At 41.1% G+C, this 18,232-nt stretch overlaps 1 protein-coding gene and 1 long non-coding RNA gene across 4 annotated transcripts in view, besides 6 other annotated features; both read left to right on the top strand.

Moving 5' to 3' along the window:
- Positions 7 to 286: an enhancer, noted in NCBI's record as "active region_25077". NCBI's record gives its function as "activates an Ori minimal core promoter by ATAC-STARR-seq in GM12878 lymphoblastoid cells {active_cell/tissue: GM12878}" and the evidence as "EXISTENCE:reporter gene assay evidence [ECO:0000049][PMID:35858748]".
- Positions 7 to 947: a biological region, named in NCBI's record as "H3K27ac hESC enhancer GRCh37_chr6:133134673-133135419".
- Positions 193 to 10,123, top strand: LOC107986644 (uncharacterized). Its single transcript, XR_001744345.3, has 3 exons — positions 193 to 1,188; positions 9,530 to 9,783; positions 9,893 to 10,123. It is a non-coding gene; the product is annotated as an uncharacterized LOC107986644 (long non-coding RNA).
- Positions 201 to 947: an enhancer, noted in NCBI's record as "H3K27ac hESC enhancer chr6:133134673-133135419 (GRCh37/hg19 assembly coordinates)". NCBI's record gives its function as "activates a minimal SCP1, AML or CMV promoter by ChIP-STARR-seq in naive and primed H9 embryonic stem cells {active_cell/tissue: H9 hESC(naive and primed)}" and the evidence as "EXISTENCE:reporter gene assay evidence [ECO:0000049][PMID:30033119]".
- Positions 1,377 to 1,446: an enhancer, noted in NCBI's record as "active region_25076". NCBI's record gives its function as "activates an Ori minimal core promoter by ATAC-STARR-seq in GM12878 lymphoblastoid cells {active_cell/tissue: GM12878}" and the evidence as "EXISTENCE:reporter gene assay evidence [ECO:0000049][PMID:35858748]".
- Positions 15,777 to 15,826: a silencer, noted in NCBI's record as "silent region_17553". NCBI's record gives its function as "represses an Ori minimal core promoter by ATAC-STARR-seq in GM12878 lymphoblastoid cells {active_cell/tissue: GM12878}" and the evidence as "EXISTENCE:reporter gene assay evidence [ECO:0000049][PMID:35858748]".
- Positions 15,844 to 18,232, top strand: part of SLC18B1 (solute carrier family 18 member B1) — a 29,268-nt gene continuing 26,879 nt past the window's right edge. For 2 of the 3 annotated variants that reach the window (NM_052831.3, XM_047418166.1), the window contains exons 1-2: positions 15,844 to 16,067; positions 17,360 to 17,499. In NM_052831.3, coding sequence (NP_439896.1) covers positions 16,025 to 16,067; positions 17,360 to 17,499 — 183 coding nt within the window. In that variant the 5' untranslated portion in view covers positions 15,844 to 16,024. Of the gene's footprint in view, positions 16,068 to 17,359; positions 17,500 to 18,232 lie in introns of those variants that run through there. The other variant, XM_047418165.1, reaches the window with a different exon arrangement.
- Positions 17,058 to 17,558: an enhancer, noted in NCBI's record as "H3K4me1 hESC enhancer chr6:133118062-133118562 (GRCh37/hg19 assembly coordinates)". NCBI's record gives its function as "activates a minimal SCP1, AML or CMV promoter by ChIP-STARR-seq in naive H9 embryonic stem cells {active_cell/tissue: H9 hESC(naive)}" and the evidence as "EXISTENCE:reporter gene assay evidence [ECO:0000049][PMID:30033119]".

The raw sequence follows: 18,232 nt of genomic DNA, 5'->3' as shown, positions 1-18,232 counted from the left end.
CAGTGCCGGGCCTGGGGAGTTTCTGTTTCCGGATTGAGGCGGTTCTGAGGCAAACGTACTGCGAGTTTTCTATCTCTGCCAGGCCGGTCCTTGGCGAGTGCAACAGGCACTACGCGGGCAGCTTCGCGTTGTCCTTCTTTGCGGAGGCGTGGCCCACCGAGGCCCAGGGAACTCATTCTACGGAGCGCGACAGAAGCCAAACAAGTGTGTCCGCGTGTTCTTTAAGGCACCTAGAGCCCTGTATCCCGCCGAGCGCCAGTTTTAACCCTTTCCACACCACGTTCTACTTTCCTGTTGCTTCTACAAGACCCAGCCTCCCCAGGCAGCGCACTTTGTTCCTTCGCTTCTAAGTCACCCTGAGAGACCATGTTTGTGTCGTTGTGGGTGTGATCCTCATCTTTGTCTTCATGAAACGAGAGCCTACATGCTTTCACTCTTCCAGGCTGGAGTGCAATGGCGCGATCTCAGCTTACTGCGACCTCCGGCTCCCGGTTTCAAGCGATTCTCCTGCCTCAGCCTCCCGAGTAGCCGGGATTGCAGGCGCCTGCCACCACCCTGGCTAATTTTTTGTATTTTTAGTAAAGACGGGATTTCACCATGTTGGCCAGGCTGGTCTCGAACTCCTGACCTCAGGGGATCCACCCGCCTCGGCCTCCCAAAATGCTGGGATTAGAGGCGTGACCCGCCGCCCCCGGCCGCTTTCACTATTTCTAAGCCCTTTCCCTGCGGTGTGTTGGTAAAGCGGAACCCTGCAGCCAGGGGTCAATTCTAGTTTCTAAGTATAGCGGGAGTCGCTTCTGAACGAAGTTTGTTCTGCTTTGTTTGGTTTTTAACGACGCGTTGTGCTCGGAATACACAGTTCCGCGCAACTCAGAATTCCTCAGGTGCATTTTCAACACCTACAATGTGCCTGACGCAGGGCCAGGTCCTGGGACTACAGACATGAAATATCCAGTCTTTGAGGAGTCCATTTTCTTCCAGGAAGCAATATTTTAAATTTGGAAGTGATTGGCCATTCCCCAATCCCCACTTCCAAACCAAACGCACGAAACACTACTGAATATGATCAATACTGCCTTTGTGTTTAATTTCCTCTCCTGGGTAGTCAGCCGCCAAACCAGTGAGCAATTATTAGGCGCTTGGCACGTGCCAGCGCTGTGAATCCAGTGGGCAGATACTGTTAGACTGGTGAGTGCAGCGAAAAAAACAAAAATGGGTAACGCAGTAAGAGCACCAGGGAGTTCACCAGAACAGAGACCTGCTGTAATGTTAATAAACTGATAGAGTTCAGTTTACTGATAGAGTTCAGTTTTAGATTTTCCGCTGGTTTCAGTTTCATTTTTAAAGCGTTGAAGCTGCTTCTCTGTCAGTAACTCATGCAAATGTTTATTGAGCTTTTGATTTAAAAAAAAAAAAAAAACGAGGAATTTATAAAGATGATTCATTCCTGTAGCCCTGGTTTGTTTGTGGTGGGATTAAGATTTTAGACAAAAATCAGAATACCTCAGGGCCACAGAGGAGATACAAAGTGGCAGGGGGTTAGGGAGTGGGGATGGTGTGAAAAGGTAAGAGGACCTCAGGCTTCTGGCAGCATTCGAAACAGGCTCAAAACAAAAACTAAGAGATTCCAAATCGGTGAGCATGGAAGGAGAGGAGGGTATTCTAAATGGATGAAAGTGTAGGGGCAAAGGCATGAAATCCTTCTTGCCTTTTTTGGAGGTTATAATTAACACGTTTGTATTTTTGAAAGAGAATGTGGCAAATAGTCTTTCAGCGCATTTCTCATTATCTAAAGACAGTACAGTTGATATGCTAAGCATATTAGATTCCTTCCCCAAACAAATTTTTAAGGAAGAAGCAGGGAATTTGGGAAACCTAAGTGAAAACATTCACTGCCAAACAGCATATTTATGTGGGGGGAAAATGATCAAGTGCCTTGTTAGCTAAGGCAGTTGTTCCCAGTACCAACCAGCTCAGACTTGGTTTCTATCTTTCAGCAGCTGCTAATCTGTTCTATTGACTCAGACATCGTGGATCTCTGCTTTAATGTTTCACTGCACTAAAATGTCTTTTCACACAAACCTCCCTCCTTAGAGGGAGCTACATTTTTTTTTAAGTCCTACTTATATAACCTACTTATATAACTTATATAACCTACTTATATAAGTCCTACTTATATAACCAGTTCTAACCCCCAAAATGAAGTCAGGGGGCACACTGGTGATACAGGGGTTCTTTAATATAGATTCTCCTAGTTCACTTTTTTTTTTTTTTTTTTTTTTTGAGATGGAGTTTTGTTCTTGTAGCCAAGGCAGTGTCGGGATCTTGGCTCACTGCAACCTCCACCTCCCAGGTTCAAGCGATTCTCCTGCCTCAGTCCCAAGTAGCTGGAATTACAGGTGCCCACCACTATGCCCAGCTAAGTTTTGTATTTTTAGTAGAAATGGGAGTTTCACCATGTTGGCCAGGCTAGTCTGGAACACCTGACCTTGGTTGATCCGCCCACCTTGGACTCCCGAAGTGCTGGGATTACAGGTGTGAGCCACTGCGCCCAGCCTCCTAGTTCACATTTTTAAGGTTACCTCCTCTCAATTTCAGAGACTGGTAAAGGTGGAAGACAATACTACATAGAGGATAGTGGTTGGTCACTCATACCAGCAGAGTATAACACATGTGCACAAATATGAGTCTGACACACATATGAAAACTAAATGTATTCTGAAGTTTGTTTTAGGAACAATACTGATAATAACAGGCAATTTGTTTCACTTTTTCTATATGCCAGATAAAGCGCTAAATTCTTTCAGGCATTTTTCCCCTTTATTGTTATGGAGACCCTATCTGGTAGTGATGGTATTAGCCCACTTTAACAGGTCAGGAAGCCAAGGCTTAGGTAGCCCAAGATCACACAGCTAATAAATGTGGAAGCTGGTATTTAAGCTCAGTGGACTTCAAAGCCTGTGCTCCTAACCCTTCGGTCATTTGAATGATTGCCAGAATGTGGAAAGGAGATTGCCGAGAATTCAAGAATGACTCTCTACGTCTCTGGTTTGGCAATAGTACAGCTAGTTCTATCCCACTGTGCTAAAAACTATATAGATGGAGGAAGGGAATATTGCTGTTAGGCAGAAAAATTTGCATTTGGATTTAGAAATTTGGATTTCTGAATTATCTAAGTGTAGATGTGTAGTTTGCTAGGGCTGCCATAGCAAAGTACCACAAACTGGGTGGCTTAACCAACAGAAATCTATTATAATGCTGAAGGCTGGAAGTCTGAAGTCAAGGTGTTGGGAGTGTTGGTTCCTTCTGAGGGTGTGAGGAAGAATCCATTTCACACATCTTTCCTAGCTTCTGGAGGTTTGTTGGCAATCTTGGTGTTCCTTGACTTGTGTTAGCATAACTCCAATCTTCGCATGATGTTGTCCCTATGTGCATGTCTGATTTTGTGTCTGAATGTTTCCTTTTTATAAGAATATCAGCCATATTGGATTAGGGGCTCACCTGCTCCAGTAAAACCTCATCTTAACTAATTACGTCTACAACAAACCTGTTCCAAATCAGGTCTTGTTCTGAAGTGGAAGGGGTTAGGATTTCAACATGTGAATTTTGAGGGAACACAGTTCAACTCATAACAGATGACAAGGAGGAGATACAGAATGATCAAATGAAAGAAAGCATCTTTGAGATGAACTGCAAAAAAACTTACTTTGAAGACCAGAGCTGGAGACAAAAACCGGGCTGAGGCATAATAATGATTTTATATCTTGGAGTGGTCAGGAGGACCCAACTGTGCAGGGTTAAAATTCCAGCTTACTTTGCGACCTTTGGCAAGTTATTTTCTTTCTGAGCTAGTAAAATGGTGGTAATGCTATAATATTTCTGTGAGGATTAAATGAGATAGTCATTTAAAGTGTTTACCACTATGCCTGTAAAGTAATTTACCTTATAAAGAACTTCATATGAAAATACATGGAGAGTTTCTTAAATATTACCTTTCTCCTGTCCTAAACCATCCAGCACTTAGTACAGTGAATTGCATATTGGAGGCTAAACACATGTGTACTGAATGAATTCACTGAGTGAAATAAGATTAAAGAAGCCTCTTGGGGCCGGGTGCTGTGGCTCAGACTGTAATCCCAGCACTTTGGGAGGCTGAGGCAGGTGGGTCATGGGGTCAGGAGTTTGAGACCAGTCTGGCCAACATCGTGAAACCCCGTCTCTACTAAAAATACAAAAATTAGCTGAGTGTGATGGTGGGTGCCTGTAATCCCAGCTATTTGGGAGGCTGAGGCAGGAGAATCACTTGAACTCGGGAGGCGGAGGTTGCAGTGAGCCACTGCACTCCAGCCTGCGCGACAGAGCAAAACTCCACCTCAAAAAAAAAAAAAAAAAAGCCTCTTGTGTAGATGTCATACTTAAAGGAAAGCCATGTTGAGGACTACCATAATAAATTAGAATTTGTTGGGAGTTAGTTGGAAGCTTTGAGCATCCCAGAAAATCACTTTTAATTTGAAAACTTCAAGTTTCCTTACCTTTGGGGGTAGAAACTAAATACAATGGATGGAAATGAGTGATAAGAAATAGGAGAAAAAAACTAAAAAATACTATACTGCTGCAACTCAGGAACATATAGGCTTAACTCTCATTTATTATAGCATGTAGTTTTAAACATACTGAAGAAAAATTAGTCATAGCTGAAGAAAGATTTGAATAGAATCCCATTGTATCAAAGGAAGAATTAAAGGAAAAAGAGAAGTTGCAAAGAGAGAAGAAAACAGAAAATAAGAAAGCAGATGCACTAATAAGAGTGGGATAGACTAATAAAGGCTGTTGGTAGTAGCTTGTAAAGTTAACATGTTTATTAAGTGAAAACAAGGTTGTAGGGGAGAATGGGGCTAGATTATTGTATAGCTAAGTATGAAGCCTGTGCCAATAGCTTATATTTTTGGAGGTTTTGTGTAATTATCATCTAAATTTTCACAAGTCTTAGTAAGAATATATCTTCACCTGCTTGTTTTGTAGTTTTTATCTGTTCTTTTTTGTTGTTGTTGTTGTTTTCTTTAGAGACAGGGTCTTGCTATGTTGCCCAGGCTGATCTTGAACTCCACTGTGCCCAACCATCCACTTTTTTTTTTTTTATTGCTACCAGATGTTACCCACAACTCTTGGGGTACAGTAGCTGCACACTACAGGGCTGACTTAGAGTTCATGGAAACTAAACAAACATACTATGGAATATAATTAGAGATAATACTTTATAAGTATCATCCTGAGTAGCTGAGATTACAGGCGCCCGCCACCACACCTGGCCAATTTTTATAAATAAACTAATTATAAACCAACTACGCAGTATTTTTTTTTTTTTTTTGAGATGGAGTCTCGCTCTGTCGTTCATGCTGGAGTGTAGTGGCACGATCTTGGCTCACTGCAACTTCCGCCTCCCAGGTTCAAGCAATTCTCCTGCCTCAGCCTCCCGGGTAGCTGGGATTACAGGCACCCGCTACCACGCCTGTCTAATTTTTGTATTTTTAGTAGAGACAGGGTTTCTCCATGTTGGCCAGGCTGGTCTCAAACTCCTGACCTCAGGTGATCTGCCCGCCTCAGCCTCCCAAAGTGCTGGGATTACAGGCATGAGCCAACGCACCTGGCCGCTACACAATAATTTATAAATGAAATAAAGAGTAGTGGAGGGTAGAGAAAAGCTTAAATTAACATTAAATTGATTCCCTTAGGATACAAAGAGGGCTGGTGTGGGGGAGACTCCAGCCCTCTCTGCTGCTTCCCCTGCTGTTATCTGCACAACATTTCTTTTGAAAATGAGTCCTGATGTTCTAAAATGTATTTGATGCATGCAGTTCTTATTAGAGAATCATTAGAATGAAGGCAGTACCACTCCTATTCTTATAACTGAAGCTACATTAAAAAAAAGTCCTGTTTTATATTTGTAGGTTCTAATCCTACAAATGAATGCGAAGGGCAGACTGGTGATTCAAGGACTCTTTGATTTAGATTCTCCTCTCTATCATTTTCTGACTCTGCAGCCTTGGTCAAGAGATTTCCAAACTCTGGATCTGCAAAATGAAGTAGGCAATTATACGAGATACCCTTAAGCACTTTTTCAGTTTCAGCATTCTACCTCGTTATTTTCAAACAATTTTCACTGCTGGTAAATGTTGAACATCCTATGCTGTCTGCTATATTAGTTTTCTGATTTCACTTGACTTTATCCACATGACTATGAGCTGCAGTTAATGCCTGCTTCCCTCCTATGTCTCCAACTTACAGATGATATCTTTATTTGTAAATAACAGTTATTGCTTTTTAAATATTAGAACAAGTAAGCATGTTCATTGTAGAAGATTTGAATAATACTGTATCAGTGATAATTCTTTGCATGCAATGGAATGAGCTGTGGCCAACATTTAAAAAATGAATTTATTAGAAATGTACTGGATGGCTCAGAGAACAGAACAGTTTGTTTGAGCAGTCAGGTCTAGGGAATAGTAAGAATAGAACAGTTTGTTTGAGCAGTCAGGTCTAGGGAATGGTAAGAATAGAACGGTTTGTTTGAGAAGTCAGGTCTAGGGAATGGTAGGAATGGAATAGTTCCAGGGGTCTTGGTTATAGGACCTGATCAAAAGCCTCTTAAGGCAGTGCTTTATAAAATGACTATCAGAGGATTTTTCACCCAATCCATCAAAGATTATTAGTTTAATAAAATACAACAAATATTAATTACTAGGAGGTTCTGCAAGACTAACCTTCTTGCAGATAACTAATGTAACTCTGAAAATGTTACAAAACAAAACAAAAAATAACTACCTGAAGACACTGGAGAGTGACCAAAAGCAGACGGAACTAGGGGATAGGTGTGAGGACCAACACTAAGAAGAAGGAATGACACTGGATGATTTTCCATTTTTATGAGTGTTAGCACGAGGAGACCCTTAGTCAGTGCTACACGGAACAACTAATAGAGTTCCTCAGTTGTAATGCCTTAAAAAAACCAGAGAACAGAGTTCTATTAGTCAGTGTTCTCTAGAAGGACAGAACTAATGGAATATATATTATATTTTATATATATTCCATATATATAAAATATAATATATATTCTCTATATATATATATGTATATGTATATTTTTTGAGACAGAGTTTTGCTGTGTTGCCCAGGCTGGAGTGCAATGGCATGATCTTGGCTCACTGCAACCTCCGCCTCTTGGGTTCAAGCAATTCTCCTGCCTCAGCCTCCTGAGTAGCTGGGATTACAGGCATGCGCCACCACGCCTGGCTAATTTTTATATTTTTAGTAGAGACGGGGTTTCACCATGTTGGCCAGTCTGGTCTCAAACTTGTAACTTCAGGTGGTCCACACACGTCAGCCTCCCAAAGTGCTGGGATTACAGGCATGAGCCACTGCACCCGACCCATATATAAGGTGAGTTTATTAAGTATTAACTCACACAATCACAATGTCCCACAATAGGCCATCTGCAGGTTGAGGAGCAAGGAGAACCAGTCTGAGATCCAAAACTGAAGAACTTGGAGTCCGATGTTCAAGGGCAAGAAGCATCCAGCATGGGAGAAAGATATAGGCTGAGAGGCTAAGCCAGTTTCTCTTTTCACATTTTCTACCTGCTTATATTCTAGCCACACTGGCAGCTGATTAGATTGTGCCCACCCAGATTAAGGGTGGGTCTTCCTTTTCCGGCCCACTGACTCAAATGTTAATCTCCTTTGACAACACCCTCACAGACACACCCAGGATCAATACTTTGTATCCTTCAATCCAGTCAAGTTGACACTCAGTATTAACCATCACAAGAGTTCAGAATAACCATGGCACTGGAAATTGAAGAAAGGAGGGAAATCCCAGAAAGGAGAGAGCCAGAGAGGGGAAAACCAGAATTTTCCGTGTATACTCTGCCTCAATCTCTGGCTGAGCTCTGAACTACACACACATGGGGTAGCACAGTGGCTTATGCCTGTAATCCCAGCACTTTGGGAGGCTGAGGTGGGTGGATCACAATGTCAGGAGTTCAAGACCAGCCTGACCAACATGGTGAAACGCCGTCTCTACTAAAAATAAAAAAAATAGCCAGGCATGGTGGCGCATCCCTGTAATCCTAGCTACTCAGGATGCTGAGGCAGGAGAATTACTTGAACCCAGGAGGTGGACGTTGCAGTGAGCTGAGATTGTGCCATTGCGCTCCAGCCTGGGTGACAGAGCGAGACTCCATGTTAGAAAAAAGAAAAAGAAAAAAAAACCTCCAAGCAACACAGGTAAGGCTAAACAAAATGCACAGAGATTACAGCTGCTGCTTTTCCCATCACTGGAGAAACATGAAGTTTGAGTCAAGGCAGGTAAACTCTCTGCTAAATTCTTTTTTAAAATTAATATTCTTTGGAAGAATGTAACAGAATCCAGAATCTCTGCAATGTATCATTAACAATGTCTTCGATATGATCCAAAATTATGCTGTATACCAAAAAACTAGAAAACATGACTCATACTCAAGAGAAAAGGATCCCAAGATGATCATATGTTAGAAGTAGCAGACAAGAATTTTAAAGCAGCCATTAAAAATATGATTAAGAATGTAAAAAATGTTCATAATGAATGAATAAATAGGAAAAGTATAAACCATAAAAGAGTATCAAATAGATATTCGAAAACTAAAAAGTAAAATATGAGAAATAAAAAATTTACTGGAAGGGTTCAGCAATAGATTGGAGATGATGAAAGAGTCAGTAAACTTTAAATAAATCCGAAATTATCCAATAGAGAGGGAAAAAGCCAATTGAAAAAAAAATGTATAGAGCTGCAATGATCTGTTGGGCAAAATTTAAAGGTCTAACATATACTCAATTAGAATACACAAGACTAACATATAGGCAGTTGGGGTGCCAGAAGGCAACAAAATGAGGGAGGAAACAATATTTAAAGAAATAAGACTGGGCACAATGGCTCACACCTGTAATCCCAACACTTTGGGAGGCCGAGGTGGGCGGATCACCTGAAGTCAGGAGTTTGAGACCAGCCTGACTAACTTGGTTAAACTCCATCTCTACTAAAAATACAATATTAGCTGGGCATGGTGGAGCATTCTTGTAATCTCAGCTACTCAGGAGGCTGAGGCAGGAGACTCGCTTAAAACCTGGAAGGCAGAGGTTGCAGTGAGCCAAGATCATGCCATTGCACTCCAGCCTGGGCAACAAGAGTGAAATTCCATCTAGAAGAAAAGAAAAAGAAAAAGACAGAGACAGAGAGAGAGAAAGGAGAGAGAGAGAGAAAGAAAGAAAATAATGTTCAAAAGCTTCCCACATTTGGTGAAACACATAAATTCAGATTCAAGAAGCTCAGTGAACCCTGAGAAGAATAAATACACACACGTATACAACCCTAGGCATATCATAAGTGAGATATTAAAACTCAAAGTTAAAATTACAGTGGCATTTATGGGGAAAAAGACACATTACATACAGGAGACCAATAATACAAAATTCCACTAATTTCTCTCAAAAAATAGGAGCCAAATGAAAACAGAACCACATCTTGAAAGGGCTGAAAGACAACTTGCTACCCATATTTCTATATTCAATGAAAGGCTCTTCCAGAATGAAGACAAAATGATGACATTCAGAGCTAAACAAAAACTAACAGAACTCATCACCAGAAGACTCATACTTGAAGAAATGTTACAGAAAGTTACTCATGTCGAAGAAAAATGATATCAGATGGAAAATTTAGATGTTCTAGAAGGAATGAAGAACACTGAAAATGGTAAATATGTGGGTAAATTTCAGACTATTTTTCTTTTTGATTAAATAGTACATATAGCTATCTAAAGTAAAAATTATAATATTGCATGATGAACTTTGTGTCTTCATAGATATAATGCGTATGACAACTAAAGAATGAAGGATGAAGAGAGAAGAGGTGGCTGCTGGGTAAGGCCACCTGTATGAGTCTAACAGTCTGCAAGGTTCTTACATTTTCCATGAAGTGCTACAATATTAATGCTAAGTGGACAAAAAAAATTAAGAATGTGTGTATTGTAATTCCTAAGCAATGACTAAAAATAGTTGAAAGAAATATAGGTAAAATGATAACATACAAATTACAATGGAATTCCAAAATCTCTTTTTTTCTAATTAAGCCAAAATAAGGTAAAAAAAAAAAAAAAAGAAGAAGAAGAAGAAACAAATGAGTAAAAAACAGATGGGAAGATATAAAACAAATAGTAAAATGGTAGACGTAAACCCAACCCCATCAATACTTACCTTATATGTAAGTAGAGTATCTTCTCAAATTAATACATGTTAATACCAGAGGAGGGGAAGTTTTCGACTTGTTTTATGAGTGCAGAATTACTTACTACCAAAGCCTGACAAAAGAAAATAAAAAGAAATTACAGATCAACATTACTCATAAACATAGACAAAAAAAACCTCTAACAAAATATTAGCAAATTGATCCAGCAATATATAAGAAAAGAGAATACATCTTGACCAAGCAAGATTTATCTCAAGAATCCAAAGTTAACATTAGACAATTAGCATTAGACCACTGATCAGTGTAATTTATTAAATTAACAGAATAAAGAAAAAACCATGTACAATAGACGCAGAAGTACTATTTGATAAAATTTAACACAAATTCATTTTAAAATTTCTCAGCACATTGGGAATAGAAGGTAGCATCCTTAATCTTCTGAAAGGCACATGTGAAAAACCTACAGCTAACCTCATACTTTATAATGGAAGACCAAGTGTTTTTCTTGTAAGATTGGGAACAAAGTGAGGCTCTCCATTCTCACCACATTTATTCACCATTTTACTGGGCGTCCTAGTCAGTGCAATAAAATAAGTGAAAGAAACAAAAGCATACATTTCAGAAAGGAAGAAGTAAAACTCTATTCGCAGATGGCATAATTGTTTATGTAGAAAATCTAAAGGAATCTATACAACAATGACTAGAACTAATGAGGAAATTTAGCAAGATTGCAGGATACCAGATTAATATAAAAGTTCATTTACCTTTATATATAATCAGCAAATTGTTGGAAATTTAAACATAAAAATATCAATTTTAGTAGCTTCTAAAACTAAGGTATTTAGGAATAAATTTAACATGAGGCATATAATACCTACACGGTGAAAAATGTGAAAATGTTATGAAAGAAATATCTATATAATTGGAGAGATATACTATGTTCATGGATTAAAAGCTTAATAGTGATTCAATATCAGTTCTCTCCAAATTGATATATGGAGTAAAAAAAATACCAGTAAGAATTCCACCAGGTTGTTTGGAGAATATGAGAGCTAATTGTGATATTTCTCTAGAAAGTCAAAGTAACTAAAATATTCAAACCACTCTTGAAAAAGAAGAACGTACTTGGACACTTTTTACTGCCTGACTTCAAACACATTGGGTCTTGATATGCAATGGAAGCAAGTGAGTGGAAGAAGCTAGCACCACCTAAAATCTCTTCTGGTGAGAGTGGCAGCATTCTTGAGGAGTGGGGATGATGTTCTAATTACAGTGTCTCATACCTGGCTCCAGTGGTATTGGCAGCATGTGCTGGAGATGTACGTCCAGCAGGGTTGCAGTGCCATGCATACTGGACCGCTTAGGTGGTGTGACTTTAGGCACTTAGCCTCTAAGTGGTATGCATGATCCTCCTGATGATACTATGTGTTACCTAATAATCAATGATGAATTCATTTTCTGCTTAAATTAGCCAACGTTGCTTTGTTTTTTATTAGCAACAGGGAACTCTGACTGATAGAAATGCCAGGAAGAAAAATAGAAAGGTGAAAGGACAAAGGAGGACTAGGGCTGTATTTGGATAAGGGCATAAGAATGAACTTCTTAGCCGGGCGCGGTGGATCACGCCTGTAATCCCAGCACTTTGGGAGGCCGAGGCGGGAGGATCACCTGAGGTTGAGAGTTTGAGACCAGGCTGACCAACATGGAGAAACCCTGTCTCTACTAAAAATACAAAATTAACTGGGCATGGTGGCGCATGCCTGTAGTCCCAGCTACTCAGGAAGCTGAGGCAAGAGAATCGCTTGAACCTAGGAGGTGGAGGTTGTGGTGAGCCAAGATAGCACTATTGTGCTCCAGCCTGGGCAACAAGAGTGAAACTCCATCTCAAAAAAAAAAAAAAAAAAAAAAATGAATGAATTTCTTGGCCAGGTATGGTGGCTTACGGCAGTAATCCCAGCACTTTGGGGAACCAGGGCAGATGGATTGCTTGAGTCCAGGAGATTGACACCAGCCTGGGCAACATGGTGAAACCTCATCTCTATTATTAAATAAATAAATAATAAAAAAGAATGAATTTCTCTGAGGAGGTGGCATTTAAACAAAGACCATATTACTCCATTTTAGTTTGTAAAGAAACAAATATTCCATATGTGTATGAATGTCTAAATGAGCATATCAAACTATGAATAGATAATTGTGGTAGGCTGATAATGGATTCCAAAGATACGTCCACATCCTAATCCCTGGAACCTGTAAATGTTACCTTATATGAAAAAAAGGGTCTGTGCAGATGTGACTAAATTGGAGAACTTGAGATGAAGAGGTCATCCTGGATTATCCAGGTGGGCCCTAAATTCATTCAAAATATCCTTACAAGAGACTGGCAAACGAAGATTACACACAGAAAAGAAGAGGCACAGTGATCACAGAAACAGAGACTACAGTGATGTGGCACAAAATGCCAATAGTCACTAGAAGCTTCAAGGGGCAAGAAACAGACTCTTCCCTAGAGCTTCTAGAGGGAACATGATCCTGCTGACACCTTGATTTTGGCTCAGTGAAACTGATGTTGAACTTCTGGCTTTGAGGACCTTGTTTTAAGCTATCAAATTTGTGTTGATTTGTACAGCAGCCCCAGAAAACTAACACAATAATATATTTGATTATAAAACTGATTATCTGAAGGGAGAATGAGAGGTAGAGATTACAAGAGGAGCGGAGGATAGGGATATGAATAGACTTTATGTAAATTAAAAGTAGATGGACACATAAGAACATAGATTTTTTTGAGAACATAAAGAACAAGATTTGCATTAAACATGCAAGAATTATTGCAAATGGGGAGAGGAATGAGAATGGAGATACAAGGAAATAGATGGCAACAGAAATGAAACATTCAATTGGCAAGATACAGTTGGCAAGATTCAGTTGGCAAAAATTCAGATGGCAAGATACAGTTAGGGATACTTCCTATAACATGGAGGAAAAAAAAAGAAAAAATAATAACTAGCCAGGTGTGGTGGCACAGGCCTATAGTCCCACCTACTCGGGAGGCTGAGGTGGGAGGATCAGTTGAGCTCAGGAATTTGAGGTTGCAGTGAGCCATTATATGTCATGGTAGCTTGGGAAACAGAGTGAGACCCTGTCTAAAAAAAATAAAATAAAATAAAAGAGAGAAGAAAAAGAGAAATAAGTAAAAGGACCAGTTTGGGTGACCCAACATTCACATAAAGTGCAGTCCAGAAAGAAAATAAAAGAGGAAATGTAATCATCAAAGAAATCATTCAAGAAAATTTCCCTCTACAGATTGATGTTAGATTGAAGAGAAAGCATAGAGTTAAATGAGATTGGAGAAGCTGTCAGGGGTTAGATCATAAAGATTTCATAAGGCTACTTTAGGGAAACTTTGCTAGATTGGAACTTTCTTTTCTTTTCTTTTTTTTTTTTTTTTTTTTTTTTTGAGATGGAGTTTCACTCTTGTTGCCCAGGCTGGAGCACAATGGTGCTGTCTTGGCTCACCACAACCTCTGCCTCCTAGGTTCAAGCGATTCTCCTGCCTCAGCTTCCCGAGTAGCTGGGACTACAGGCATGCGCCACCATGCCCAGCTAATTTTGTATTTTTAGTAGAGACAGGGTTTCTCCATGTTGGTCAGCCTGGTCTCAAACTCTCGACCTCAGGTGATTTGCCTGCCTCGGCCTCCCAAAGTGCTAGGATTACAGGCGTGAGCCACAGCACCTGGCTTAGAGTGGAACTTTCTGTTCAGAGTGGTTCTCTAGGTTCTCCTTTACAACTTGCCCACTGGGGAATTTTTTTTTTTTTTTTTTTGAGATGGAGTCTCGCTCGGTTGCCCAGGCTGGAGTGCAATGGCATGATCTCTGCTCACTGCAACCTCCGAGTCCCAGGTTCAAGCGATTCTCCTGCCTCAGTCTCCTGAGTAGCTGGGTGCCATCATGCCCAGCTAATTTTTGTATTTTTGTAGAGACGGGGTTTCACCGTGTTGGTCAGGCAGGTCTCGAACTTCTGACCTCGTGACCCGCCCACCTCGGCCTCCCAAAGTGCTGGGATTACAGGCGTGAGCCACCGCGCCCGGCCCTCACTGGGGAGTTTTTACATAACCTTCAAGAACCAAGGTAACATCACTTCCTCAGGAAGTCATCCAGGACCCATTTGCCAAAGTAAATGGTTCTTCCAATATGTTTGTATACAACCGATTGCATTATAGTAGATTATTAATTAGTGTGAATTTCATCTGCTAGAAGGTGTGCTACTTGAGGGCAGAGTCTGGATGGGGCTCATTCCTCTTTAAATTCATAATGCCTGGCACAAAGTGGTAACTCAGTCTTTTGTTTTGCTTTGGCTTCAAAACAAGAATTTCCCAGTCCTTAAACTTTATTTATTTATTTGAGACAGAGTTTCGCTTTTTCACCCAGGCTGGAATGAGGTGGCACAGTAATTACAAACTTACTATCAGCCATACTGTGTACTGGAACTGACCTTGTACAGTGGATCTGAGGCAGATTCTCAGTCGATAAAGCTACCCTCACACAATTCTTTTGGATCTTGGCTCACTGTAACCTCCGCCTCCCAGGTTCAAACGATTCTCCTGCCTCAGCCTCCCTAGTAGCTGGGATTACAGGTGCCTGCCACCACGCCTGGCTGATTTTTTTGTATTTTTATAGTAGAGACAGGGTTTCACCATGTTGGCCGGGCTGGTCTAGAACTCCTGACCTCAGGTGAGCTGCCCACCTCGGCCTCCCAAACTGCTGGGATTACAGGCATGAGCCACCGTGTCCAGCCAGTCCTCGAGCTTTAACACTTCCCAAATAGTAAATACGGTGAAAATAAGTGAAACCTATTTTTTATGCAAGAAAACTGTGAGTGTGAGAGTAAGGTAGCAGCCATCATGTTCATGTGCTAACTACTAACACACTTTATCGCCAATGCTCACAGCCGCCCTACGAGATAAACATTATAATCTCAGTTGTACAGGTAGAGAAACTGACCTTGTCATCCAAAGTTACACACTGCCAGCAAGTGCCCTGGCTTGAATCCCTGGCACCTGCCTCCAGAGGTCGCACTCCTAGCCACTTCGCCATGCTTCCTCGATATTCATTAGTATTCTTGCAAATATTTTTCGACTCCAGGTGCTTCACATAGGTTAATTCATTTCCGGTTCAATAGTGTCTGGCTTCAGTAATTACGAACACTACCGCATTTACCCACTGTGAAAAATAATTCACTCTTTCAAAGTTCCTGTATAACCTAATTTTCTAATTCACTTTTGTGTCTTTCAGTTGAGGTACTCCCTGCCTTTTCTGTGTCTACATAAGCTTCCTTTCTTTCGTTTCGTAGGAATAAATTGAACTTATTTTAAGATTGAGGGGGGTACAGCTGTATGGAATATAGACTCATCTTTTTTCACTCTCTGTCACAGAATGAAAAAGGACACCATGATATAGCAGCTGAGGTGGTGGATTAAGATAATGAGGCGGGGGGGGGGCGCAAAACAAAAAAAAAAGGAGCCTTGCTCCACCCCTGCCCCGCCCCCGGCCTCCTCCCGGGGACCCAGAGTCCTGGAAGGCTTTGGGGAGCTCCGGGCCGGGCGGATCGCTGCCTGCAGGGAGTCGGGGATGCCAGGTTCCAGCTGAGCAGCGGCCGCCCGCCAGAGTGCCAGTGGCTCCTTGGAGGTCGAGTCCAAGGACGTGGCTTGAAGCCGGGAGCTGGGGCGCCGGAGTCCACGCACCGGGGATGGAGGCGCTGGGTGACCTGGAGGGACCACGCGCACCAGGAGGTGACCATGAATTGCGTGGCCGGGAGCCCGGAGACCAGCGGCGGCTTCCGGCGTGTCTCTTTAGCAACGATTGAATTGCTTATAGCTTGATCTGTTTCCGAGAGATTGGAAAAGGCTGGGGCCTGATCGTGGGGTTCGGGCCAGCGTTTCTTTTCTCTCTGGACGGGGTAAAGTTCCAGGATTGGATATGTGTCACGGTTTCTAATGACTTTCTAACCTATACCTCTGCTTTTTAAGTACTGTGTGTTTAATGCATTCAAATAAGTATGCCATTAGGCAAATGTAAAACGTTACCTTTCAAGTACCCATTGTTGTTGCCTTTCTTTTTAACTTTCATTTCCCTTTCTCATCTACTACAAACATTTTACAAAGATTCGTAAGACTTCCTCATGTTGCACTGATTTTTTTTTTCCTTCTGGACTGCAATGGCAACCTCTGACAAATAGAGCAAAGCAAATGTATTTCTCTTAAGTTTTTCCTAAAAACAATTTAATTTATAAATGGCTGATGGATTTGCTTGGATATTTGGAACTCAGTAATTGATTTCGTGTTTTTAAATGACAATTTAGCCCTGGAAATAAGTGTTAAATTAACTGATGTAAAAGACCAGTAATTAGGGTAAAAAAAAAGTATTTATTTATGAATTTGTGGGACTTGTCTATCCAGAAGCATACCGCTGTAAATATTAATTCACCAGCTGAATGATTTAGCTTGTTTTCTCCTACTTACACTTCATTTGACTTCAATACTGCCTTAGAAATCTTTGTTTTTTGTTTTTGTTTTTGTTTTTGTTTGTTTGTTTTGTTTTGCTTTTTTGAGACGGAGTCTCTCTCTGTAGCCCAGGCTGGAGTGCAGTGGTGCGATCTTGGCTCACTGCAAGCTCCGCCTCCCGGGTTCACGCCATTCTCCTGCCTCAGCCTCCCGAGTAGCTGGGATACAGGGGCCCGCCACCACGCCCGGCTAATTTTTTGTATTTTTAGTAGAGACGGGGTTTCACCGTGTTAGCCAGGATGGTCTCGATCTCCTGACCTCGTGATCCGCCTGCCTCGGCCTCCCAAAGTTCTGGGATTACAGGCGTGAGCCACCGTGCCCAGCCGAAAGCAGTACGTTTTCAAAACGGCAGTAATGTACAAGGATTGTGTTCCATTTGATCAAATGTGCTATATTCAAAATAGCCCTAAGCTTAGCAAATGATATCTTCAGAGTGCAACATATGTGCACAGAAATCACATTTGTGTACTTTAATCAGTAGTCTCAATTATATGCCTAATTGCTGCATGTTTGCATTCAAGGTGATGATCCTGCAGGAAGTGCAGGAGAGACCCCCGGGTGGCTTTCGAGAGAACAGGTTTTTGTACTGATATCGGCAGCTTCGGTGAACTTAGGTTCCATGATGTGCTATTCTATACTTGGACCGTTTTTCCCCAAAGAGGTAAGACATTTTTAAATCCTTAGGACCTCTGTTTTTTTGTTTGTTTGTTTTTTAAAAGCCTTTTGAATTATTTTATTTTATAGTATATAAAATGTAAAAATCTGCATATAGGACAGATGGTGTATAGAACTCCAGCCAATAGAATACTTCTTATAGAATGCCTGATACCAGGAAAAAAAATCCAGTCAAAAAGAACATCTTCTTGGGAGGTAATTCACCTAAAAGTAGTTGATCTTCTGAGAATTACTTTTCTTACCATGTAGTCTGATTAATCTTTATTTGGTTTCTGCAACTGAAACAAAGGAGTGCACTGAATAACTGAGATTCAAATGTTACTGCAATAGGTCTGTGTTAAGACAGTAACTATTTTCTCGAGGTTTTATTCACATTTTAGAATTAGGACGTTTTGATTCCCGACCCCCCTTCCTTTTTTTTTTTTTTTTTTTTTTCCTTTCGAGACAGGGTTTCGCTCTTGTTGCCCAGGCTGGAGTGCAATGTTGTGATCTTGGCTCACTGCAACCTCTGCCTCCCGGGTTCAATTGATTCTCCTGCCTCAGCCTCCCGAGTAGCTGGGATTACAGGCGCCTACCACCACGTCCGGGTAATTTTTTTTTTTTTTTTTTTTTTGAGATGGAGTCTCGCACTCTCGCCCAGGCTGGAGTGCAGTGGCGCGATCTCGGCTCACTGCAAGCTCCGCCTCCTGAGTTCACGCCATTCTCCTGCCTCAGCCTCC

Source organism: Homo sapiens, chromosome 6, assembly GCF_000001405.40.
Source record: "Homo sapiens chromosome 6, GRCh38.p14 Primary Assembly".
In the NCBI taxonomy this organism is placed as follows: Eukaryota; Metazoa; Chordata; class Mammalia; order Primates; family Hominidae; genus Homo; species Homo sapiens.
The sequence above is the reverse complement of the archived record's forward strand: the minus strand, read 5'-3'. Positions and strand labels throughout refer to the sequence as shown.